The following is a 26343-nucleotide window of genomic DNA, read 5'->3' on the forward strand; positions in this document are numbered from 1 at the left end:
CAAGGAGCAGGCATCTTTCTTGAAACATTTTATGGCTCCCTCTTACTTCTGCCAAATGCCCTGCCCTCAGGTTACCTGTGCTCTGACCTGAGGGGGAGGCAAGGCTTAGGAGATTTCCCCACCCAGGAGGATTTCATTTCCGCAGGGACCAGGAAGACATCTGACCCCATTCATGATGTGATTTAGCCAAAGTGACAAGCCCTTGACAAGTTAACAAGGGGCTCGGGAGAAGGGAAGAGGGTGGCCCCGGTCATGCTGGGAGCCTCTGTGTTGTGGTGGTGGGTGCAGGGGGAGTGGGCAGAGCTCCTCTCTGGGGACTTTCTCAGGTGAATGAGGCAGAGCTTGATCAGTTACTTGCACATTTGCATTTAGATGGATTCAGTTTTTAAAGAAATTATAAGCCAGAGAGTGAGATACAGGTGACTCCTGATTCTTTGATTTAGTTTGGAGAGGAGGGCGGTTCTAACGCAGATAACATATACAGTTCGCACTTTGCAATGAAAGCCAGATTTGACTTCCAAAATATTCTCTCATATTAATATTGTAATGTTCACTTTTCATATAATAACAGTTATAACTTTCCCTCTCTAAAAGTCTGTAGAATTATGGTGGTTTCATTTCAAAATGTGTTTTCCTAACAGTGAGATGTAAATAGAAATCTGGTAATTCCTAACAGGACTAAATTCTTATAAGATTTTTTGGACAAATCTAAAGGGAATCACTGATATGTCTCTCTCCTACCACAGACATGCAGGTAATAAAATAAAATAGTCAAAGAGTTTGAGAATCTTATCTCCTTTAAGTTCACAGTGTGCTAAGTAAAATAGAACTGTCAACTGTGGTCACATATCTTGCAAATACCACCCCCTGCTGTTTGTCTCTTAAGTTTGCTATGGTGAGTTTTTTGCTGTCTGGAAATTTGAACAAATGTTTTCTTTATGGCGCTGTCATTCTTAGAAAGCTCTCCTTTTTTGTCCCATTATTTAAAAATATATTACTTATGTCCACACAAAAATCTGCACACAAAGGTTTATAGCAGCTTTATTCATAATTGTCAAAACTTAGAAACAACCAAGATATCTTTCAATAGGTGGATGGATAAATAAAGTGTAGCACATCTAGACCATGGAATCTTATTCATTCAAAAAGTAACTGGGCTAACAAGTCATGAGAAAGCATAAAGAAAACTTACATGCATATTGCTAAGTGAACTAAGCCAATCTGAAAAGGCTATATACTGTATGATTCCAACTAAATGGTATTCTGTAAAAGGCAAAATGATGGAGACAGTAAACCAATCAGTGGTTGCTGGCGGTTCCAGGTGATGGAGGGAGAGATGGATAGGTGGAATATAGGGAATTGTTAGGGTAGTGAAACTATTCTGTGTGATACTATAATGGTAGATACATGTCACTACACATTCATCAAAGTCCATAGAATATACAACACCAAGGCTGAATCTTAATGTAAACTATGAACTTTAATTAATAATAATTTATCAATATTGGCCCATCAATTACAACAAATGTATCACACTAATGCAAGATGTTACTAATAGGGGGAATTGCTAGGGCAGACGGTGAGGAGTATAGGGGAACTCTCAGTATTTATCATTCCCATTTTTCTGTAAACCTCAAACTGCTTTTTAAAACAAAACCTATTAATTTTAAAAAGGGGGAGATTAAAGAAGATAAGATGAGGAAAGAGTGAGTAAAAGAAGGTGGGATAGGGAGAGAGGAGTTGAGAAGGGATGAGAAGAGGAGAGAGTGGGAAAGAGGGGAAGAGGAAAACAGGGAGGAGAGGGGTAGGAGGGAAGAACAAGGGTCACTTGCACACGGTAAACTCCTTACCCTATAAGAACTTATTATACAACACATTGGAGAGACAGCCAAGATAACTAAGTTGTCATTAGATTAAAATTATATGAATAATATGAAGGTGTGAAGTGAGTCTTATATAACAAAAGCCTTATATTAACCCAAGATGTAGATCATCTTTTATACTGCTACTCTGTACGACTTTTATGGTTCGTAATAAATGCTTTTATTTTTCATGATTCACCTAACAATATTTTCTTTATCTAGCTACTTTTTGTTTTTTGTTTGTTTGTTTGTTGTTTTGTTTTTGAGACGGAGTCTCGCTCTGTCACCAGGCTGGAGTGCAGTGGCACTATCTTGGCTCACTGCAACCTCTGCCTCCCAGGTTCAAGCAATTCTCCTGCCTCAGCCTCCCGAGTAGGTAGGCGCCACCACACCCAGCTAATTTTTGTATTTTTAGTGGAGACGGGGTTTCACCATGTTGGCCAGGATGATCTTGATCTCCTGACCTCGTGATCTGCCCGCCTTGGCCTCCCAAAGTGCTGGGATTACAGACATGATCCACCGCACCCGGCCCTTGTTTTGTTTTAAGCCTGCTTTGGCTTATCTGTATCTCTCAGTTAATTCCCAGGATGGATGGATAGATAGATAGATAGATAGATAGATAGATAGATAGATAGATAGATAGATAGATTCATAGATAGATAGATAGATGATAGAATACAGATATTAATATCTAATAATATAGAGATCTATAGGCTAATAATTGTATATAATATGTATAATATATGTAATAGCAGAGAAGTGGGACTATGATAATTTGAGGCCTTAAACTATCTGTGAATATATACAATGTTATTTAATGATACACTCTAATTAATTAAAAACATATAACTCCTGTACCAAGGACTAAACTTTTTTTAAAGGGTGAACAAATAATAAGTCAATAGAGGAGATGAAATAGAATCATAATTCCAGTAAATGCTCAATTACCTCAAGAGAAGGCAGGAAAAAATAAAGGACAGATGGATTAAATAAAAAATAGCTAAGAAAATGGTAGATTTTAATTCAGTTATATAATAACACGAAATGTGAATGATCAAAATATACCAATTAAAAGACAGAAATTTCCAGATATGATTTAAAAACAAGACCTATGTATATGCTGCCTTAAGAAAAAGTCACTTTAAAAACAAAGACATAAATATGTTACAAATAAAAGAATATTAAAAATGTATACCATCAAACAATATCCAAAAGAAAGCTGGAATAGCTATATTCATGTTAAAAAAAAAAGAAGCTTTATCAAGTTGAATGATGAAGAAAAAGGTGAAATTTTAAAAAAATAAAAAATAAAAATAAATAAAAATTTTTTAAAACTTCAGAACAAAGAGTATTATCAAAGGTAAAAAGAAATACTACATAATGATAAAAATGCCAATTTACCAAAGTAACATAACAATCCTAAATGTATATGAACTTAACAAAAGAGCTTCAAAACTCTTAAAGAAAAATTGAAAGAACCAAAAGCTGATATAGATGAATATCTACATTACAGTTGGAGATTTTAACACATCTCTCTCAGTAATGGATAGAACAAGTAGCTAGAAGATCATTAAGTATGTAGATGACTTGACCACTATCAACCAATTTGACCTATTGACACTATTGACCTAATGACACTATTGACCTATTGACACTTGACCTATAGCATACTTCGATCAACAACAGAACACACATTCTTCTCAAATGCACATGGAGCATTCACCAAAATAGACCATATTCTGAGCCATGAAACAAACCTTAACAAATCTAAAACAATAGAAATTACATAAAGTATATTTTTACACCAAAATGGAATTAAATTCAAAATAAATAACAGAAAGAATCTAGAAATTGTCCAAAGATTTGAAAATTAAACACATACTTGAAAATAACCCTTGGGTACAAGAAACCTCAAGGCAAATTTCATTTTATTATACTTTAAGTTCTAGGGTACGTGTGCACAACGTGCAGGTTTGTTATATATGTATACATGTGCCATGTTGGTGTGCTACACCCATTAACTCGTCATTTACATTAGGTATATCTCCTAATGCTATCCCTCTCCCCTCCTCCCACCCCACAACAGGCCCTGGTGTGTGATGTTCCCCTTCCTGTGTCCAACTGTTCTCATTGTTCAATTCCCACCTATGAGTGAGAACATGCAGTGTTTGGTTTTTTGTCTTTGCGATAGTTTGCTGAGAATGATGGTTTCCAGCATCATCCATGTCCCTGCAAAGGACATGAACGCATCCTTTTTTATGGCTGCATAGTATTCCATGGTGTATATGTGCCACATTTTCTTAATCCAGTCTATCATAGATGAACATTCCGGTTGGTTCCAAGTGTTTGCTGTTGTGAATAGTGCCGCGATAAACATACGTGTGCATGTGTCTTTATAGTAGCATGCTTTATAATCCTTTGGGTATATAACCAGTAATGGGATGACTGGGTCAAATGGTATTTCTAGTTCTAGATCCCTGAGGAATCACCACACTGTCTTCCACAATGGTTGAACTAGTTTACAGTCCCACCAACAGTGTAAAAGTGTTCCTATTTCTCCACATCCTCTCCAGCACCTGTTGTTTCCTGACTTTTTAATGATCGCCTTTCTAACTGGTGTGAGATGGTATCTCATTGTGGTTTTGATATGCATTTCTCTGATGACCAGTGATGATGAGCATTTTTTTATGTGTCTGTCAGCTGCATAAATGTCTTCTTTTGAGAAGTGTCTGTTCATATCCTTCACCCACTTTTTGATGGGGTTGTTTGTTTTTTTCTTGTAAATTTGTTTGAGTTCTTTGTAGATTCTGGATATTAGCCCTTTGTCAGATGAGTAGATTGCAAAAATTTTCTCCCATTCTATAGGTTGCCTGTTCACTCTGATGGTAGTTTCTTTTGCTGTGCAGAAGCTCTTTAGTTTAATTAGACCCCATTTGTCAATTTTGGCTTCTGTTGCCATTGCTTTTGGTGTTTTAGACATGAAATCCTTGCCCATGCCTATGTACTGAATGGTATTGCCTAGGTTTTCTTCTAGGGTTTTTATGGTTTTAGGTCTAACATGTAAGTCTTTAATCCATCTTGAATTAATTTTTGTATAAGGTGTAAGGAAGGGATCCAGTTTCAGCTTTCTACATATGGCTAGCCAGTTTTCCCAGCACCATTTATTAAATAGGGAATCCTTTCCCCATTGCTTGTTTTTGTCAGGTTTGTCAAAGATCAGATGGTTGTAGATGTGATATTATTTGTGAGGACTCTGTTCTGTTCCATTGGTCTATATCTCTGCTTTGTACAAGTACCATGCTGTTTTGGTTACTGTAGCCTTGTAGTATAGTTTGAAGTCAGGTAGCGTGGTGCCTCCAGCTTTGTTCTTTTGGCTTAGGATTGACTTGGCAATGCGGCCTCTTTTTCGGTTCCATATGAACTTTAAAGTAGTTTTTTCCAATTCTGTGAAGAAAGTCATTGGTAGCTTGATGGAGATGGCATTGAATCTATAAATTACCTTGGGCAGTATGGCCACTTTCATGATACTGATTCTTCCTATCCATGAGCATTTGTTTGTGCCCTCTTTTATTTCATTGAGTACCAAAGCCTGGCAGAGACACAACAAAAAAAGAGAATTTTAGACCAATATCCCTGATGAACATCGATGCAAAAATCCTCAGTAAAACTGGCAAACTGAATCCAGCAGCACATCAAAGAGCTTATCCACCATGATCCAGTGGGCTTCATCCCTGGAATGCAAGGCTGGTTCAACATACTCAAATCAATAAACATAATCCACCATATAAACAGAACCAAAGACAAAAACCACATGATTGTCTCAATAGATGCAGAAAAGGCCTTTGACAAAATTCAACACCTTCATGCTAAAAACTCTCAATAAATTTGGTATTGATGAGATGTATCTCAAAATAATAAGAGCTATTTATGACAAACCCACAGCCAATATCATACTGAATGGGCAAAAACTGGAAGCATTCCCTTTGAAAACTGGCACAAGATAGGGATGCCCTCTCTCCCTCTCTCACCACTCTTATTCAACATAGTGTTGGAAGTTCTGGCCAGGGCAATCAGGCAGGAGAAAGAAATAAAGGGTATTCAATTAGGAAAAGAGGAAGTCAAATTGTCCCTGTTTGCAGATGACATGATTGTACATTTAGAAAACCCCATCGTCTCAGCCCAAAATCTCTTTAAGCTGATAAGCAACTTCAGCAAAGTCTCAGGATACAAAATCAATGTGCAAAAATCACAAGCATTCTTATACACCAATAACAGACAAACAGTGAGCCAAATCATGAGTGAACTTCCATTCACAATTGCTTCAAAGAGAATAAAATACCTAGGAATCCAACTTACAAGGGATGTGAAGGACCTCTTCAAGGAGAACTTCAAGGCAAATTTTAAAAATATGTTTAAATAAGTTGATATAAAATGCCAGCAAATCAAAATTTATGGAAGAAAGCTAAAGGAGAGCTTAAAGGAAAAATTATAACATTAAATGCTTATACCAGAAAAGAAGAAAAACCTCAAAAAATTAATTGCTGCATTCACCTTAATAAACTAGAGAAAGAAGAGTAACGTAAACCCAAAGCAAGCAGAAAGGGGAGAAAAGATAAGAACAAAGTTATGAAATTAAAAACAGAAAAAAATAGTAGAGAAAAATAATAGAATCTCAAAACTGGATCCTTGAAAAGGTTAACAAAATTAATGGGTACTATCCTCACTACCAAGGTGATGGGATCCATACCCTAAATCTCAGCATCATGCAATATACCCATGTAACGAACCTGCACATGTACCTCCTGTATCTAAAATAAAAGTTAAAAAAATTAATAAACCTCAAAAAATGGTTTATCAAGATAAACTTCTCTCCAAAGAAGATATTCAAATGACCAATAAGCACATGAAAGATATTCAATATCACTAGCTATTAACAAAATGCAAATCAAAACCACAATGAAATATCACTTCACACCCATTAGGTTGGTATTATCAACACACATGCACACACAAAAAAATAAAAAAAAATAGCAAGTGTCAGCAAGGATGTGAGAGAAATTGGAGCTCTTGTGCATTGCTGGTGGGAGTGTAAAATGGTGCAGCTGCTGTGGAAACGATATGATGATTCCTCAAAAAAATTAAACATAATTACCTGTGATCCAGCAATTCCACTTCTGGGTATACACCCAAAAGAAGTGAAAGCAGAGACTTGAACACATATTTGTACACTGTGTCCATAGCTGCGTTATTCACAATAGCCAAAAGGTGGGAGCAACCCAAGTGTCCATTGACACATGAATGAATAAACAAACATGATATATTCATACAATGGAATATTATTCAGCCTTTTAAAATAAGGAAATCCTGACTCATGCCATCACCTTCAATGGCAAAAACTCTGATTACTTTTGCACCAAAAGTACACTTCTTTAAGGAGTCCTGGTTCCTTTCATTGGGGAATGGCAGTATAGCAGTTTCTTATAAATGGAAAATAGTTTTGCAATTTCTTATAAAGTTAAACATGCACTTACCATGTGACCCAACAATCCCACTCCAAGGTATTGACCTAAGTTAACTGAAACCTTATGCTGACAGAAAAACCTGTACCTGATTTTTTTTTTTTTTTTTGAGATGGAGTCTCACAGGCTGGAGTGCAGTGATGCTATTTCAGCTCACTGCAACCTCCGCCTCCTGGGTTCAAGTGATTCTCCTGCCTCAGCCTCCCGAGTAGCTGGGATTACAGGCATGCACCACCACGCCAGGTGAATTTTTGTATGTTTAGTGGAGAAAGGATTTTGCCATGTTTGCCAGGCTGGTCTTGAACCCCTGACATCAGTTGATCCTCTTGCCTCAGCCTCCCAAAGTACTGGGATTATAAGCGTGAGCCACTGTGCCTGGCCCTGAATGTTTATAGCAGCTTTATTCATTACCAAAGCTAGAAATAGTTCAGCTGTCTTTCACAGATGAAAGGGTAAGTAAGTCTGTGTATATCCAGACAATGGGATACCATTCAGCAATAAAAAGTATCAACCCACAACACATGAATGAATCTGAAATTCTTTTTGCTAAATGAGAGAAAATCCAAAATGTTACATACTGAATGATTCTATTTATATGGCATTCTGGAAAAAGCAAAATTATAAAAATAGAAAACAAATCCGTGGTTGCCTGGAGTTGGGGGAGTCCTATGAAATGATGCCCCACTAAAGGGCCTCATTAGGAAACTTTTGGGCAGTCCAATTGTTCTGAGTTAAACTGTCTTGTTGTACACGTGACTCTATGCCTTTCTCAATCCCATAAACCTATACACCACAAAGGGTAAACTTTGCTGTATACAAATTTTTAAAAAATCAACTGAGATCTTGGGGAAATCCAAGATGAAAAGCGGACTGCTAAAATGAATCTAACCGTATTACAAATAAAAAAACATAACCATACGGAAGTTAGGAGGGAAGAAACGAGCTGACCTAAGTGCCTTTGTAAAGCAATGTTTTGACTGGAGAGTGTCAGGCCAAAGACAAGAAGAACAGTACAGAAGCAACAAACTCTCATTGGTAAATTCGTTTTTCACAAACAACCCTAAACCTATGGTATACTTGGGCTCAAAAATAATTAAATATAGTGTAAGCTATGGGATCCACTTTTCTCATTGTCAGAAAGAAGTTACAAATAAGCAGAGATAATGCTAGAATAAATCCTGGTGCTGGACTGGAGTTAGAAATATCAGTATGAACTCATGGTTGATTTATTTTTAGTAGATACAAAAATATAATATGTGTGCATATATGGGTCAGTTATACATACATGAATTACCTAGCTCTGCCCACTGAGAGAGAGGAGACTATGAGCAGTGACACCAGTAGCAATGAGCACAGCCAGCACTCAGATCTTGATTTCGAAATGCCGTTCCCTGATGAAAGGAACCAGGACTCCTTCAAGAAGTGTAGAAGTGGCTGATTCCAGGGCTAGGATAGGGAAAATAAATATAAGATGAGCCTGGAACACCTTATAGTGCCAGAAAGTAAAGAAGTGAAAACAGGATAAAGCATGTGAAAAATGCAGAAGAGGAGGCAAAAATTTGCCCCTCCTCTTTTATGGTTTTGTTGTTGTTGTTGTTGGGGGTTTTTTGTTTTTGTTTTGTTTTCTTGTTTGTTTGTTTGTTGCCTGGGCCTGGAGAATTAAATAGACATAAGACAAATCAACAGGAGAAAAGTATATAAATTATTTAATGCAAGTTTTTTAATGGCAGGAGAGCATTCATAAGGAAATGAAGACACAAAGCAGCAGCTAGAGTCAAACATTTATGCCCTGAATTGTGAAAATGTAACAAGGCAAAGGGGCTTATGCTAGGGTAAATAACTGGGTAAATAAGTAATTAGGAACATAAGGGATGCTTGTATAGATTCCTATCAGCCTCAACTTCCTATCCTTTGTGATGAGAATGTTACTTTCTTCTTGGTTTAGGGAGAACACCTTTCACATGGGAATTTCATCTCTGGCTTTTAAAGAACAGTGAAGGTCAGAGTGATCTTCTTGCATCTCCTGTTTTTATGTGCCTTTAGTTTAAAATAATTCTGATGCCAAAGTGGCATATTTGGGGATGATGTGTTCTGAGTGACATGTTTTGGGGTAGTGTATTCTGAGCCTCTTCATTCCCCATTTGAAACTTTACTTTTAGAAAGTTTCATATGTTAAAAGCCAAGTTAGTAGCTGTGAGCAGATTTGGGTTGGAAGTTGTGAAACAAGAGATCAACGAAGGGAAAGAAAAACAAGGATCGGAACACACAGAAGAACAAATATTCCCCGTATCTTATTGACACAGCCTTTTAGTCCTGAGAACAGTTCAGTTGAACAGTTGCGTCTCATTTTAGGAGGCCGTGTTGCAGTTGGGCTTCCATCCAAGTTGAGACTTCATAATGTAAACAATAAGAGGCATTTCTTTTTTTTTTTTTTTTTTTTTTTTTTTTTTTTTTTTTTTTTTGAGATGGAGTCTCGCTCTGTCGCCCAGGCTGGAGTGCAGTGGCGCGATCTCGGCTCACTGCAAGCTCCGCCTCCCGGGTTCACGCCATTCTCCTGCCTCAGCCTCCCGCGTAGCTGGGACTACAGGCGCCCGCCACCACGCCAGGCTAATTTTTTTGTGTTTTTTAGTAGAGACGGGGTTTCACTGTGTTAGCGAGGATGGTCTCGATCTCCTGACCTCGTGATCCGCCCGCCTCGGCCTCCCAAAGTGCTGGGATTACAGGCGTGAGCCACCGCGCCCAGCCCAATAAGAGGCATTTCTATGGAAACAAAAGAAAAATAAAGGTTAATGTTTAGGGCAAGTTATAAGCCCAGCTTTTGAGTCCAGAGGGCAATCAGTTGGTAAAGGGTACTATAGGTTGGGCTCAAAGCATCTTTAGATAGAGAGTGAAGATAAGCAGTGGTAATTCTGATCAATTTCCTGATTTGCAGTTTGAATGTCTCTGGTGAGGTCATTGGGTGTTCCAGTGGACTTTCTGAGTGGCCTACACAGCAACAGGCACAAAGGTTGCTTATATATTAGTTGTGGTAGTGAGTTCTCTGAAGTTTATATCAAGTCATCCAGTTTCAGCTTGCAAAATTTCAGGAAAAGGGCAGCTTCAGTTTTCAGTGATGTCAAGTCAAGAGAGTAGGAGAAAAACATGAAGCATTAGCCTGAAGATTTGTTGCCGGATATGGGAGGAAATTAGAGTTTAATATCTAATCCATTCTACATATAGATAACAAAACTTCAAAGACAATGAACAGTACTAGAATCCAATAACGGGTACACTATAGTTTTTGTTAATATAATTTTTCTCTCCACAGTCACTCCCACTTTTACCAAACATAATCACAGTAAGACTAATTTTTTTACAAAATAAGTCTAGTCACATTAAACTTGTCTTGATTATTTATATAATGCAGCAAGAATAGTGATTGATCGTATAGGCTCTTTTTAAGTCTGCTTTGCTGGAACTGCTAATAAGGAATCTAAAAGCCTCTCAAGTCTAGGAAGCCAAGCCAAGAGCTTGTCATTAGATTTTGCCTGTAACACCTCTAGATTTGGGTGAGTTCCTCTGTTCTCGAGGTCTCCAAAATATTTTTAAGGCTCCTGGGCCTGCATGAAAGTTACCTTCTTTACTCAACTATAAGGCTAGGAACTCTGTGAGCAAGGTACCAGGCTGGGGGTTTTTTAAGGGGCCTTATTCGCCCCACAAAGTCATCCTTAGTTTCTTAAAACTGTGTAGTCATATCTGATTCTATGACATTCTAAAAATTACATTCCAAAGCTTTGGTAATGTAACCAATGTTTTCCATTGTGTCCTGTTACAAACAGATAGATTCTTATTGGACCTATACAAACAACTATGGTCATGAATGTAAGAATACTCACTCATCATTTTCAAATTCTGGAGGGATTAGGTAGGGAGAAAATCAAATGCTTTATTTCTGTTTACAAATGCATAATCTACCAGATTGTGGTCAACTACAGATAGCGTAGGATAAAAGAGAAAACATTTCCTCAGATCTGGAAAACAAAATATTAAAGAACGAGCAATGTTTTGAAAAAAGGTAATTTTTTAAAGCATCATTTTTTTTCATCAGTTCATTTAGTCCCATCCAATTAATTTTTGTTTTGCCCAACATCGGGTTAACAGTTTTACAAACCAGTCAGTTTCTTCATTAGAGTTCTGGAAATTCTTACCCAGGCCAATGGTGGGATCTTAAAGTTATCAAAAACCTGTACTTGTTGGAGTCTTTTCCATGATCTCTTTGAAGACAAATTTTGACCATAGTGGCTTGCAAAAGCTTTTAGGAAAATATCACAGTAAAATAACATGTAAATTATAAAAGATTTTTAAGTAGTCACATTTAAATATCTAATGAGAGTTTCTTACAATCTAATTGATGAGGAAATTTGGTTATTTCTGTGACATACAACATTGTAAAATAAGATGTAGAATTCTGATTGATAACATTATATCAGACATATGATGAATAGCTAAGGGTATTGACAAATTTTAAAGAATTTTATTTCTGAAACACTCTTATTAGTAACATGTGCCCATATAAATATAAAGAAAGCTAAACGTCACTTTTACTTGACAGTGCTTCCCACATAATTTAACATATCAAATAAGCCAATTAGTTTAATGTCCCTCTTTTACAAGGTGAGAGAGAAATTCTTTCACATTTTCCAGGAGCCCATCTCAAAAGTCCCAAAGTTAGTTCAAGATCAATAAAAAAGGCTTAATTTAGAAATTAATCTTGGGAAGTTTGTCAGAAACGTCAAAAGGGGCCGAGTATGGTGGCTCACACCTTTAATCTCCACATTTTGGGAGGCCAAGGCAGGAGGATGGCTTGAGCCTGGGAGTTAATACCAGCCTGGGCAACACAGACCTATCTCTACAAAATATTTTTTAAAACATTAGCGGAAGATAGTAGCATGCACCAGTAGTCCCAGCTACTCAGGAGGCTGAAGTAGGAGGATCCATTGAGCCCGGGGGTCAAGGCCGCAGTGAGCTGTGATCATGCCACTGCATCGTAACCTGGGTAACAGAGTGAGACCCTATTTCAAAAAATAAAAACAATAATAAAAACTAGGAGTGGAAAGGATAGGGGTTTAGATGAAACAAGATTGCCCATGTATAACTGTTGATGCCTAATGATAGATACGTTGAGTTCAGTACGCTATTTTTTCTACTTCTATGTATTTAGAATTTTCCACTTAAAAAGTTTTTTTAAATAGATTGACAGAGGTTTATCAAAGTTCATAATATTTCAATTTTTCCAAATATTTTAGATATAATGGGTTAAATGGGATACTTTTCAACCTTTCAGTGAAAGAGTAAGACATACAATTTATAGTCATTTGGTATGTCTTGATAAAGCTTTTTTGGTATACTTCCCAGACATTGAGAAATCAAGTGATTCTAATGACTGGCCATTAAATCCTTCTGCAAGTCAAGCAGTCTCCACTATTTTGTTTTCAACAAAAAGGAAGACAGATATATCCATCAATAGAAATTAAAAATTAATGAGAAACCACTATGCGGTTTTGGCATTTATTTTGGAAGGAGTACAAAGAATTGAGTGGCATTAGCATAACAGAATTGATTATATTTCTATTGATTCGTTTATATGAACAAGGCTTCTCAATTTTTGCACTGAAGTAATTTCATTTAAAAATGTTAATATCTACAATGTGCTAGAAATTACATCCTTTGCAAATATTCATGATGAAAAAATTTTAGAAGTTCAGCTTAAAATCAAGAGAAGACCTAAATTTTTAAAAATCCCTTTAGTGAATACAGAAGTAAAAAAGTTTGAAGACCATTGCCTTAAAGAAAAACTTACATGAATGCATAAGGATATTTTGTAAGAAGACTCATGATAGTAAAAAGCTACAAACAACCCAAATATTCATCAATACTGCATTGGATAAGCAAATTATAGAATATCCACACAGTGGAATGATATTCAGCAGGAAAAATGAACAAAACACAATTACCTACATCAACATGAATAAATATCATATACATAATGTTTAATCAAAGAAGAACCGTTCTTTTCCCAGAAGAATACAGAATCTGATTCCATTTTTGACAAGGTTAGTCGTGGAAAAAAACTAAAAATATATATTGTTTAGAGCAACAGACATAGGTGATACAAAACTATAAAGAAAAGCAAGGAAAGGCTGGGCGCGGTGACTCACGCCTGTAATCCAAACTCTTTGGGAGGCCAGAGCAGAAGGATTCCTGAGGACAGGAGTTCGAGACCAGCCTGGGCAAAACAGTGAGGCCCTATCTCTACAAAAAAAAAAAAAAAATTGGCCAGGTGAGGTGGTGCACAAGGTGATCTTGCTACACAAAAGTCCAAAGTGGGAGGATCGTTTGAGCCCAGGAGGTCAAGGCTGCAGTGAGCTATGATTGCACCACTGCACTCCAGCCTAGGCAATGGAGCAACACCCTATCTCAAAAAAAAGAAAAAGAAAGAAAGTGAATGATTAACACAAAAGAGAGGATAGTAATAATACCCTAGCGACAGGGAGAGGAACTCATGGAGGTGGGATGGGAAGCTTCGAAGGGCAATGCTCTACTCCTTAAACTGGGTATGGCTTTATTGAGCTTTATGCTGTACATATACTCTTATATATATATATTCATGATATACTTAACTATAAATATAGCTCAACCATATTGAAAAACATGAAACAAGACCTGAACAAACAGAAAAACAGACCATGTTCTGGTATGAAAATACTTACCACTATGAAGATATACATTCTTCCAAAATGGATATATACATAATTAAATTCCAATTGAAATCTGTTGTTTTTGTGTGTGGAATTAGATATGCTTTCTTCAGGCTCCCTTGTGCGGAAAAAAAATGCCTGAACATAAGTTAGTCTGGCATCGGCATAAAACACACAAATAAATCAGTAGGACAATATACATAGTACATAATGAATCCTAGTTAATAATGGGAATAAATGTATGAAAAAGCAGAGGAAAATTGGTTATTTAGTTAAGTGGTGAGGAAAAAACAGCTTTCCAATTAGAAGAAAGTAAAGCTGGGCTGCTACCTCACACTACATAAAAATCCAAGAGGCCGGGCACAGTGACTCACACTGTAATCCCAACACTTTGGGAGGCTGAGACAGGTGGATCACGAAGTCAAGAGATCGAGACCATCCTGACCAACATGGTGAAACCCCATCTATACTAAAAACACAAAAATTAGCTGACCGTGGTGGTGCCCGCCTGTAGTCCCAGCTACTTGGGAGGCTGAGACAGGAGAATCGCTTTATCCCGGGAGACGGAGGTTGTAGTGAGCCGAGATCGCACCACTGCACTCCAGCCTGGCAACAGAGCAAGACTCCATCTAAAAAAATAAAAAATAAAATAAAATCCAAGAAGGATTGAATTTGTGTCTGTAAAAAAATAACATGAAAATCTTAAGACAAAATACAGGAGATTATATGTACAAGCCAAGAGTTGAATGTACTTTCTTAACCAAGACATGAAGCCAGAAGTTATAAAAGAAAAGATGGCTTTAAAGTGTTTAATATGGCAAAGATGCCATAAACAAATTTAAAGATAAAAAAATAAATTTTTCTCTTGAGCCCAGGAGTTGTAGGCTGCAGTGAGATCTGATTGCACCACTGAAATCCAGCTTGGGTAACAGAGTGAGACCTCATCTCTAATGAAAAAAAAAAAAATTAAGATGAAATTTTAAAATCTATGTTACCAAAAAAACTCACAAAAATAAAAATGTGCAACATCCTTAGACTGTTCACAGATGAACAATCAATGGCCAATACACATGTGAAAAAAATTCACTTCATAATGAAGGAAATGAAAATCAAAACAACTTGAAAGCATTGTAAAAAGTTATATACTATTGACAAAAATTAGGGGTGAGCTGAGGTCTGGAGGTCGAGATCAGCCTGACCAACATGGAGAAACCCCATCTCGACTAAAAATACAAAAGGCCGGGTGTGGTGGCACATGCCTGTAATCCCAGCTACTCCGGAGGCTGAGGCAGGAGAATCGCTTGAATCCGGGAGGCGGAGGTTGCAGTGAGCCAAGATCGCGCCATTGCACTCCAGCCTGGGCAACAAGAGCAAAACTCCATCTCAAAAAAAAAAAAAAAAAAAAAAATAGTGGTGAGGTTGGGAAGAAACGCAAAAGATGCTTTAATGCATTGCTGGTAAATGTAAATTATTACAGCCTTTTAAGAAAGCTCTCAATAGGATTTATTTTATTTTAAAATATTTATACACTTTAATGCATCAACCCTATTCCAAAGACTCCGTCTCATGGCAATAAAAGCTCCAGTTAGTATAGTCTGGTTTTGCAGAATTGTTTCTAGAGGCAAAAACATAGGAAGAGAGGTAAAAGTGCATCAGTAGGGATACTCATATTGGTATACTCATATCATGGAAATATTATGCAGCACTAAAAAGGATTATTAGAATGGCTAAAATTAAATACACTGAACACACTGAGTGTTGGTGAAGATGTGGAGGGACTGGTGGTATATAAAATGGTGCAATTGGCCGGGCTCAGTGGCTCACGCCTGTAATCCCAGCACTTTGGGAGGCCAAGACAGGCAGATCACCTGAGGCCAGGAGTTCAAGACCAGCCTGGCCAACATGGCGAAATGCTGTCTCCACTAAAAATACAAAAAAAAAAAATTAGCCAGGTGTGGTGGCAGGCGCCTATAATCCCAGTTTCTCAGGAGACTGAGGCAGGAGAATTGCTTGAACCCAGGAGGCGGAGGTTGCAGTGAGCTGAGATCACACCAGTACACTCCAGCCTGGGCAACAAGAGCAAAACTGCATCTCAAAAAAAAAAAAAAAGTGGTGCAATGACTTTAGAAAACAATTGGCCAGTTTCTTAAAAAGTAATCTTACACACCCATAATATGACTCAGGCATTCCACTCCTAGGTATATTCCTAAGAGAAAAGAAATCATGTGTTCATAAATGTCTTATACCTGATCATTCATAAAGCTTTATCTGCAATAGGCAAAAGTTGGGAATAAACAAAATATCTATCAACAGGTGAATGGATAAACTAACTGTAGCATATCTATACAATGGAATATGACTTCTCAATAAAAAGATATGAGCTACTGATTCACACAACATGGGTGAACCTCAAAATTATTATGCTCAGTGGAAAAAGTCAAACAAAAGGAGTACATATAGTATATATGGTGTGATTCCACTTACTCTAGAAAATGCTCACTATTCTATAGTGACAAAAAGCAAGTCAGTGGCTGCCCGGGGATGGGGGTGAGAAGTGTCAGGAGGAAGGACTGACAAGGGTCATGAGGATATTTTGGGGGGGGCCAATGGATATGTGTCAAAACTTATTAAATCGTACACTTTAAATATGATTCTCTCTCTCCCACTCTGTCTCTCTCTCCCTCTGAATTCTCCCTCTCTCTCCCACTGAAAACTGGAATAAGACAAGGATGACCACTCTCACCACTCCTATTCAATATGGTACTGGAAGTACTAGCCAGAGCAATCAGGCAAGAGAAAGAAATAAAAAGCATTCAAATAGGAAGAGAGGAAGTCAAACTATCTCTGTTTTCAGACAATATGATTTTATATGTAGAAAACCTCATAGTCTCTGCCCAAAAGCTCTTACAGATTCAAGACAAACAACTTTAAGAAAGTTTCAGGATAAAAACTCAATGTACAAAAATTAGTAGCATTTCTATACACAAACAACGTCCAAGCTGAGAGTCAAATCAAGAATGCAAGCCCATTCGTAATAGCCACGCACACAGAAAAAAATAAAATACCTAGGCATTTTCAAATCTCTTTCAGTAAAATATCTTTCACCTCCCTAACCAAGGAGAGTTTTGTAATTCTCAACCCCAGTGAGGCGAAAGATCTCTACAATGAGAATTACAAAACAATGCTCAAAGAATTTAGAGATGACACAAACAGATGAAAAAACATTTCATGCTCATAGATAGGAAGAATCAATATTGTTAAAATGGCCATACTGCCCAAATCAATTTACAGATTCAATGCTATTCCTATCACACTACAAATTACCTTTTTAAAGAATTAGAAGAAACAATTCTAAAATTCATATGGATCCAAGAAAGAGCCCAAATAGTCAAAGCAATCCTAAGCAAAAAGAACAAAGCTGGAGGCATTACATTACCTGACTTCAAACTTTCCTAGAGAGCTACAGTAACAAAAAACAGCACGGTGTGGTACAGAAACAGACATATAGACCAATGGAACAGAATAGAGAGCCCAGAAATAAAGCCACACACCTACAACCATCTGATCTTCAACAAAGTCAACAGAAACAAGTAATGGGGAAAAGACATCCTAGTCAATAAATGGTGCTGGGATAACTGGCTACCCATATGCAGAAGATTGAAACCGGACCTCTTCATTTCACCATATACAAAAATCAACTCAAGGTGGATTGAAGACTTAAATGTAAAACCAAAACTACAAAATCCTAAAAGAAAACCTAGGGAATACCATTCTAGACATAGGCCCTGCCAAAGATTTCATGACAAAGATAACAAAAGCAATTGCAACAAAAACAAAAATTGACAAATGGGACCTAATTAAACTAAAGAGCCTCTGCACAGCAAAAGAAACTACCAACACAGTAAACAAACAACCTACAGAATGAGAGAAAATATTTGCAAACTATGTGTCCAACAAAGGTCTAATAACCAGAACCTATAAGGAACTTAAACAAATTAACAAGCAAAAACCCTTTTAAAAATGGGCAAAGGACATGAACAGACACTTCTCAAAAGAAGTCATATACATGGCCAACAAGCTTATGAAAAAATGAACATTACTAATCATTAGAGAAATGCAAATCAAACCCACAATGAGATACCATCTCACACCAGTCAGAATGGCTATCATTAAAAGTCAAAAAGTTTGGGAGGCCGAGGGGGGTAGATCATGAGGTCAGGAGTTTGAGACCAGCCTGGCCAACATAGTGAAACCCCATCTCTACTAAAAATACAAAAAATCAGCTGGGCATGGTGGCAGATGCCTATAATCCCAGCTACTTGGGAGGCTGAGGCAGGAGAATCGTTTGAACCTGGGAGGCGAAGGTTGCAGTGAGCCAAGATCGCGCCACTGCACTCCACTCCGGGTGACAGTGGGAGACTCCATCTCACCAAAAAAAAAAAAAAAAAAAAAAAATCAAAAAGTAACAGATGCTTGAGGTTGTTAAGAAAAGGGAATGCTTATACACTGCTGATGGAAATGTAAATTAGCTCAGCCACTGTGGAAAGCAGTTTGGTGATTTCTCAAAGAACTTAGAACTACAATTTGAACCAGCAATCCCATTACTGAGTATATACCCAAAGGAATATAAATCATCCTACCATAAAGACGCACACATGCATACGTTCATCGCAGCAATATCTGTGATAGCAAAGACCTGGGATCTACCTAGATGGCCATCAATGGTAGACTGAATAAAGAAAATTGCTACATATATACCTGTATATGGAATACTATGCAGTCATAAAAATGAGATCATGCCTTGTGGCAACATGGATGGAGCTTCAGCCCATTATCCTAAGCAAACTAACACGGGAACAGAAAACCAAATACCACATGTTCTCACTTACAAGTGGGAGCTAAACACTGAGCACACATGAACACAAAGAAGGGAACAAGAGACTCTGGGGCCTACTTGAGGGAGAAGGGTGGGAAGAGGGTGAGGATCAAAGAACTACCTATTGAGTACTATGCTAATTGCATAGGTGATAAAATAATCGGTACACCAAATCCCCATGACACACAATTTACCTGTACAACAAACCTGCACACATACCCCTAATCCTAAAATAAAAGTTGGGGGAAAAGAAACAATAGATGTTGGCATGGATGTGGTAAAAAGGGAAATTCGTATAATCTCTATGGAAAACAATGTGGAAATTTCTGAAAGAACTAAAAGTAGATCTACCATTCAATCTAGCAATCCCACTACTGGGTATCTACCCAAAGGAAAAGGAGTCATTATATCAAAAAGACACTTTCACATATATGTTTATTGCAGCACAATTCATAACTGCAAAGATATTAAACAAACCTAAGGGCCCATTAACTGATGAGTAGATAAAGAAAATGTTTTATATATGTGTGTGTGTATATATATGTATGTTATACATACACACATGTGTATGTATAACATATATATACCATAAGATTTTATATATACACATATATACATATACATATATTATATATATATATATTCACCTTAAATGAGACAAGCCAGGCACAAAAAGACAAACATCACATGTTCTTTTTTTTGAGAAAGAATCTCACTCTGTCACCCAGGCTGGAGTGTAGTGGCATGATCTTGGTTCACTGCAACCTCCGCCTCCCAGATTCAAGTGATTCTTTTGCCTCAGCCACCTAAGTAGGTGGGTTTACAGGTGCGCGCCACCATGCCTAGCTTAGTTTTGTATTTTTAGTAGAGATGGGGTTTCACCATGTTGGCCAGGCTGGTCCCGAACTCCTAGCCTCTAGTGATCTACCCACCTCGCCTCCGAAACTGCTGAGTTTATAGGCGTGAGCCACCGCACCTGGCCCATATGTTCTCACTTATATGTGGGAGTTCAAAAAATTTGATCACATGGAAGTAGAGGGTAGAATGATGGATACCAGAGGCTGAGAAGGATGTGGAGGGCAGGAAGGTGAAGAAAGGTTGGTCAGTGGGTACGAATATACGGTTAGATAGAAGAATAAGTTCTAATGTTCGATAGCAGAGCAAGGTGACTATAGTTAACAATAATGTATTGTATGTTTCAAAATAGCTAGGAAAGAGGACTTGAAATGTTTTCAACACATGGAAATGATAAATACTCCAAGTAATGGATACCCTTAATAGCCTGATTTGACATTACACATTCTATACATTTAATATTACATATACTCCATAAATACATATTTTATGTATCGATAAAAACTTTTTTAATTTACAAAAAAAAATCCCAGGACTGAGTCTTATGGGACAGCCTTGGATTACAAACCCATATCTGAACCCATCACTGTAGCCCGAGGGATAGAGCATACCAAGTCCCTGTGGTGCAAGGAGGATTAAGTTAGAGTCACTTAAAACCCAAGGACGGAGGAGGGAGGAATAATGTTTTCAAAGAAAAATCAGGGACCTGTTCCAGGAAGGAGCAGAACAGATGCAAAGCTGCAACAATAACCAATGTTTACTAAAGTCATTCAAGAAAGATTAATCATTTATTTATTGATAATCTTGGTGCACACTAGAGCAATGTAATTTGGGAACTTATTTATGCATAATTTAAGTAAATGTGTCCAATTTCTAAGTTATTTGGGGTTTTCTTTACGATTTTTAAATTTTTAATTTTTTTCTACCCCTTCATGCAGTAATACCTGGAGTGAGTGAATTTTAAAATTCAAGTCCAAAATTATCTTCTCTCAAAATCCTAAGGACATTGCTCTGTTTGTTATCCAGCTTCTGTTAGGTCCGATGCCAATCTGATTCTTACACCTTGGTAAGTGACCTAGCTGCTGTTGTTATTATTGCTGCTGTTGTTGTTTGCGTTTTGGAGTCTTCTTATCCTTGGGGCTCTGGAACTTCATATATATGAGTCTAAGTGAGTATTTTTTTCCTACTTATTGTGCTTCCATTAGGCAATCCTTTTCGCTCTGCAAACCAAAGTCTTCCTTAACTCTGTGCAGCTCCCTTCCCATGCCTTCATATTTCCTCTTTCTTCTGTTCTCACTCAGAGATGCCTGCCAGTGGATGTCCAATCTCAGATGGCCCTCTTGAATTGTTAACTTTTCACTAATATTTTATGCCACTTTCTCTTTTTCATCATTTTCTAAGTAAAGGGTTTTTGGGGGGAGTTTAGTTTAGGTGGTTTTTGTTGTTTGTTTTGTTTTTTTGTTTGTTTGTTTTTTTGTTTTTTGAGACAGAATCTCACTCTGTTGCCCAGACTGGAGTACAGTGGTGCAATCACAGCTCACTGCAGCCTCACACTTCCCGGGCCCAGGTGATCCTCCCATCTATGCCTCCCACGTAGCTAGGATGTAGTCCCAAGCTACAAGTGCATGCCACCATGCTCGGCTAATCTTTGCAATTTTTTTGTAGAGACAGGGTCTCCCTGTGTTGTCCAGGCTGGTCTTGAACTCCTGGGCTCAAGTGACCTGCCTGCCTCAGCCTCCCAAAGTGCTAGGATTACAGGTGTGAGCCACTGCGCCCGGCCAATAAAGGGTTTTTTAACTTCAGCAATTATATTTTCAATCTCTAGGTAACTCTTGTCTTCTAATTGTCTCTCTATATAGCATGTTCTTATTGTTGATAGATGCACGAGACTGCCATAAACTATAGTCTTAATCTCACTGAAGATGTTATTTGGACTTTCTCCTCTTCTGCTGCTCTTAGGGTCTGTTTTTCCATCGGCTCATGCAGTCTTCTACTGTTCACCTGTGTGGTGAGCCCTGGCTTTCCATTCGTCCTTGCAAATGGAGTAGGTAGTCAGACACCTGCTGCCTCTGCCCTCGTGGAAACCCTCCTGGTACCCTTCTCCCCGCTGGGGCAGTCTGGTTAAGGACTCTGAGTCTGTCAGGCAGGGTTTTCAACCCCCATAAAGTCCAAAAAATGGGACTTTGTTGTGCAGTGTCACTGCCCTATTTAAACTTACCTCTCACCAGATAGATTGCCCAATTCTTCCAGTAAAGGGCTGTTTGCCTTGTCCTGACTGCACTCTGGCTTCTCTTGTGAACCAGGTCATTCGATGGATCCTAGGATGTCACATGGTTGTCTCGTTTTAAAGAAGTAAATGACCAAAGCAGATAGGTTTAGTCATAAAGCCAGAATGGTTCTAGTTAAAGATGATGGAAAGGATCCAGGGGAAGTCTTCAGTTTTAAAAAATTTTAATGATTCTATTTAAATTTTTTTTTTGATTAGAGAATATTCAAAACATACAGGTGGGCAACACCTCAAAAGTACACCCACACACACCTCACCTTCTAGATGCTCGGTTTCCCCCCCTAGAGGCAGTCAGTGTTGCTACTTTGGGTGTTTCCATCTGAAACTATCCTACGCGTATACAAACAAATAAACATATATTTACATATTTGTGTGTATTTGCATACATTGCAAAGAATATATACAATGTTATGTTACACAAGTTTTTGTAACCCGAATTTACTCATAAGGGGGTGATAAATTAGGGGAATGACGGCGGTATAACGTAGAGGCACATTAGTGCGTATATGATTTTCTTCCCAGTACTGTGTATTATACAATGTTTTATCCCAAGAAACACGAAGTTCACTATTCAGCTCTTACCGGCAGGTGGCGCCCTCTGGCTGTACGTGATGCCCACTCCCATCTCCTTTCTCTTGGATCAGTTCTCCTCTGTCTTGGAGGTACTTTTCCATGCTTCTGGCTCATCTTTGCACATTTTCCGCTTGTGTCCTTGACTCAGCTGACTTCACTCTTCCTTACAGCTCTTTCCTCAAGCTAACTTCACCTTATTTCTAAAAGTAAAGAGGTTTCTTTTTTCTTTTTTATTACAGTGTTTCTACATTTATAAGAAATTTAACTTGTCTTCTCATTGTACTAATATCTGTATTAAGACTGGTTTTTTGCTTTTGTTAGCGCTCTTCACAAAGCACTAATTTTCAACAACGTGATCCAACCATAACTCTCTCATAAGTCTGTTGTTTTTAACATGAAATATTTAAGGAATGCAAGATTTTTCAGCAATATATAAATGTTACAGCAGAAATGTCCATACTGTTCCCCACCACCACTACCCGCACTTTTAAAATAAATCATAGCACACTCTACACACTGAGTTCACTGAGTTGTGTTTGCTTTTTTTTTTTTTTTTAGATGGAGTCTTGCCCTGTCACCCAGGCTAGAGTGCAGTGGCACAATCTCAGCTCACTGCAACCTCCACCTCCCAGGTTCAAGCGATTCTCCTGCCTCAGCCTCCTGGGTAGCTGGGATTACAGGTGTGCGCCACCACGCCCAGCTAATTTTTGTATTCTTAGTAGAGACAGGTTTCACCATGTTGGTCAGGCTGGTCTCAAACTCCTGACCTCATGATCCACCCGTCTCAGCCTCCCAAAGTGCTGGGATTACAGGTGTGAGCCACCGCGCCCAGCCTTGCTTTTATTTTTTAATGAGATGAGTACATAAATAGCCTCTTCATGCTTTTTTCAGCTGCAGAGTGCAGGTATTAAGACGTAAATGGGATCTAGAATTCTGATTTGATTCTGTTTCTCTAGCACCGACATTAAGATAGACTCTTGGGGATCCAGTGTTCACAGGCACTGTTACTCCACCTGGATTTTGTCTACAGAGTGAATTATCTAAGACAAATAAACTATACATTTTATGTATATGTATATATAAATGTACATATACATTTTATGTATATGTATATATAAATGTACATATACATTTTATGTATATGTATATATAAATGTACATATACATTTTATGTATATGTATATATAAATGTACATATACATTTTATGTATATGTATATATAAATGTACATATACATTTTATGTATATGTATATATAAATGTACATATACATTTTATGTATATGTATATATAAATGTACATATACATTTTATGTATATGTATATATAAATGTACATATACATTTTATGTATATGTATATATAAATGTACATATACATTTGCAAAACTTGAGTTTATATGCAGCTTTTTAAGGAACAGAACACTTGCTTGAAGTGAGTTTCCCCAAAGTATCTGAATGCCTGCCACACTCTCCTCTCCCCCATTACATGGTATTTCCTCACAGTTCAGATTGGCAAGTGCACTTGGGGTCACCCCAGACACATACCTTGCTCAGGAGCCTCTGAGTGCAGCTCCTAAATATCTGGGGCCTACAGCCTAGACAACCCACTTAAGTGCTAGTTACTATACCTAGTCTCTCAGCCTATTATAATTGGGACTCTTTCAACCGCACATGTCGTAAGCAAAAGATTGCTTAATGATCGTATACTAAAATGGTCAGGACTCAATCTGGCTTCAAGCACTGCTGAATTCAGAATTCAAGCAATACAATCAGGTGTGAGTTGTTTGTTGTTTCTCACCTGTCAGCTCTGACTTCCAGGTTGTCTTCATTCTGAAGCTCCTGGGGTGGTCTTTGGCAGCTCCAAGTGGACTTTTCACAGGGCAATGATGGCTGCCACAGCTCCAGCTTACATCCGTCTAGGTTCAAGTTCAGTGAGGAAAGCAAGAGCCTGTGATGGTGGCATAACCCAGAAGCCCTAAGATTTACTCTGATATGACCCATTCAGGCCATGTGCCCACATTTGAAACAATCTCCATGGCCTGGGGAAAATGATCTGCGGTTTAAGTTTGGGTCACAGGCTTTATCCCTGGAACTAAGGACAGAGCCCCACCATGAACACTTAGCCTGATAAAAAGGAAAAGGTAGGTCCAAAAATGGAAATCTGGGGCTGTTATTAGAAGAAAAGAGAATGGATGCAGGGCCATTTCTTGTTAGATTCTATGCTAGCACTAACTCGATGGTTCTCAAAAAAAATTTCCCCACCACAACAATTTCAACCAAGAATGGTGGTGTAACTTGAGAAAGTCCCTAGAGGATTTCACAACATCTCCAATTGCAAAAGTTCTCCCAGCTCACACCAAGAACCACTGGCCTACTCGATTATTCCCCAAATATGTCCTGTTGATCACATTGCAAACTGTTCAATACAAACGGCTTAAACAAACTCCATGTACAGCTGGAAAAAATAATTCATTCCATTTATTGATTCATCCAACAAATATTTAGAAGCTGTCCTCCCAACTCCCCCTAATATCTCTCTTGTGTATACAAGGCAGGAGGATTTGTTTGCCATTACAATTTATTGCTGACTTCCAAGTTTATATATACCAAATGCTCCTAAACTCCAGGCTAACATGTCCAAATGCCTTCTCAACATCTCAACCTGATCTCTAAAAATCCTCTCATATTTAACATGCCCCAAATTGAACTCCTGTTTTCTGTCATTTAAAAATGTTCCCTCCATAGTCTTCCATGTCTTGGTAATTAACAATACTTTGAAACAAAAACTTGGAAGCTGTCCTTTGCTCCCCTTCTTTTCTTACAACCCACATTCATCCTGTTTGGGAACCCTGTAAGTTCTGCTGCCCAAATATATTGAGAATCCAATCACTTCTTGCTACTTCCACTGCCACCATCATGGTCCAAAGCACATCAGTGCTTGCCTGGATTATTACAAGAGCCTGCTCAGTGTCCTTTGCCCTTTATCCCTAGCTCAGTAGTCAGGATTCATCCTTCTCACCCACCCACCCCCAATTCCACACATTCCCAGTTACAAAATGCTCTAGAAGGAACTGTAACAAGAGGCATCTAGCCCTACCTTTGCTGAAGAAGGGCAAGGCCCATCTCCTGGGGTTCCTGGCTCCTGCAGCCTCAGCATGGCCACATGTCCCTGCATCTGACTCCTAGGACCACAAACACTGACATACAACTGGTTCAGGGTTAGGATGTGGGAGGCCCCCTGGACATCTCAAGTAGCCCCACGTCAGTGACCATACAGACCCTTCTCTGACTCACTAACCCATTGAAGCCACTCATGCACCCTCCCATCCTCATCTCCACAACCACCAGCCAGTGTGCATGTCATCTTTTCTGAATGCAGCCTCCCAGATTTTGTTAACTTCACAAGGAAATTTTCTGGGCTGCGGAAGAGATCAGCAAATGAGTGAAACAAAATCATAAGATGCTGCTCCCCAGGCTCACGAACCTGATCCAGAGGAGCTTCTCTCTGTTCCTGGGCTTCAGGAACAGGCATGTGATGAGGGCACAAAAGACTAGACAGTAGGATGAAGTTCCAGAAGCGCCAGGCTTGGCAGTTTTCTGTCCTGACTGAGAACATGTTTGGTGAAGAAGAAAAC

The 26343-nt window shown here is 38.2% G+C and overlaps 1 long non-coding RNA gene across 8 annotated transcripts; it reads right to left on the bottom strand.

Annotated features, from left to right (window-relative positions):
• Positions 1-5410: 5410 nt before the first annotated feature.
• On the bottom strand, positions 5411-25885 carry LOC105375566 (uncharacterized). 8 transcript variants are annotated; one of them, XR_928163.2, is made up of 4 exons: positions 24507-24953; positions 22719-22909; positions 8676-9800; positions 5411-5451 (listed from the first exon to the last, which is right to left on the bottom strand). It is a non-coding gene; the product is annotated as an uncharacterized LOC105375566 (long non-coding RNA). The 8 variants fall into 8 exon arrangements; XR_928162.3 differs by having other exon boundaries at positions 5417-5451; positions 8667-9800; XR_928164.3 differs by lacking the exon at positions 5411-5451 and adding an exon at positions 6224-6335.
• Positions 25886-26343: the final 458 nt, after the last annotated feature.

The sequence above is a fragment of the Homo sapiens genome, chromosome 7 (genome assembly GCF_000001405.40).
Source record: "Homo sapiens chromosome 7, GRCh38.p14 Primary Assembly".
NCBI lineage: Eukaryota > Metazoa > Chordata > Mammalia > Primates > Hominidae > Homo > Homo sapiens.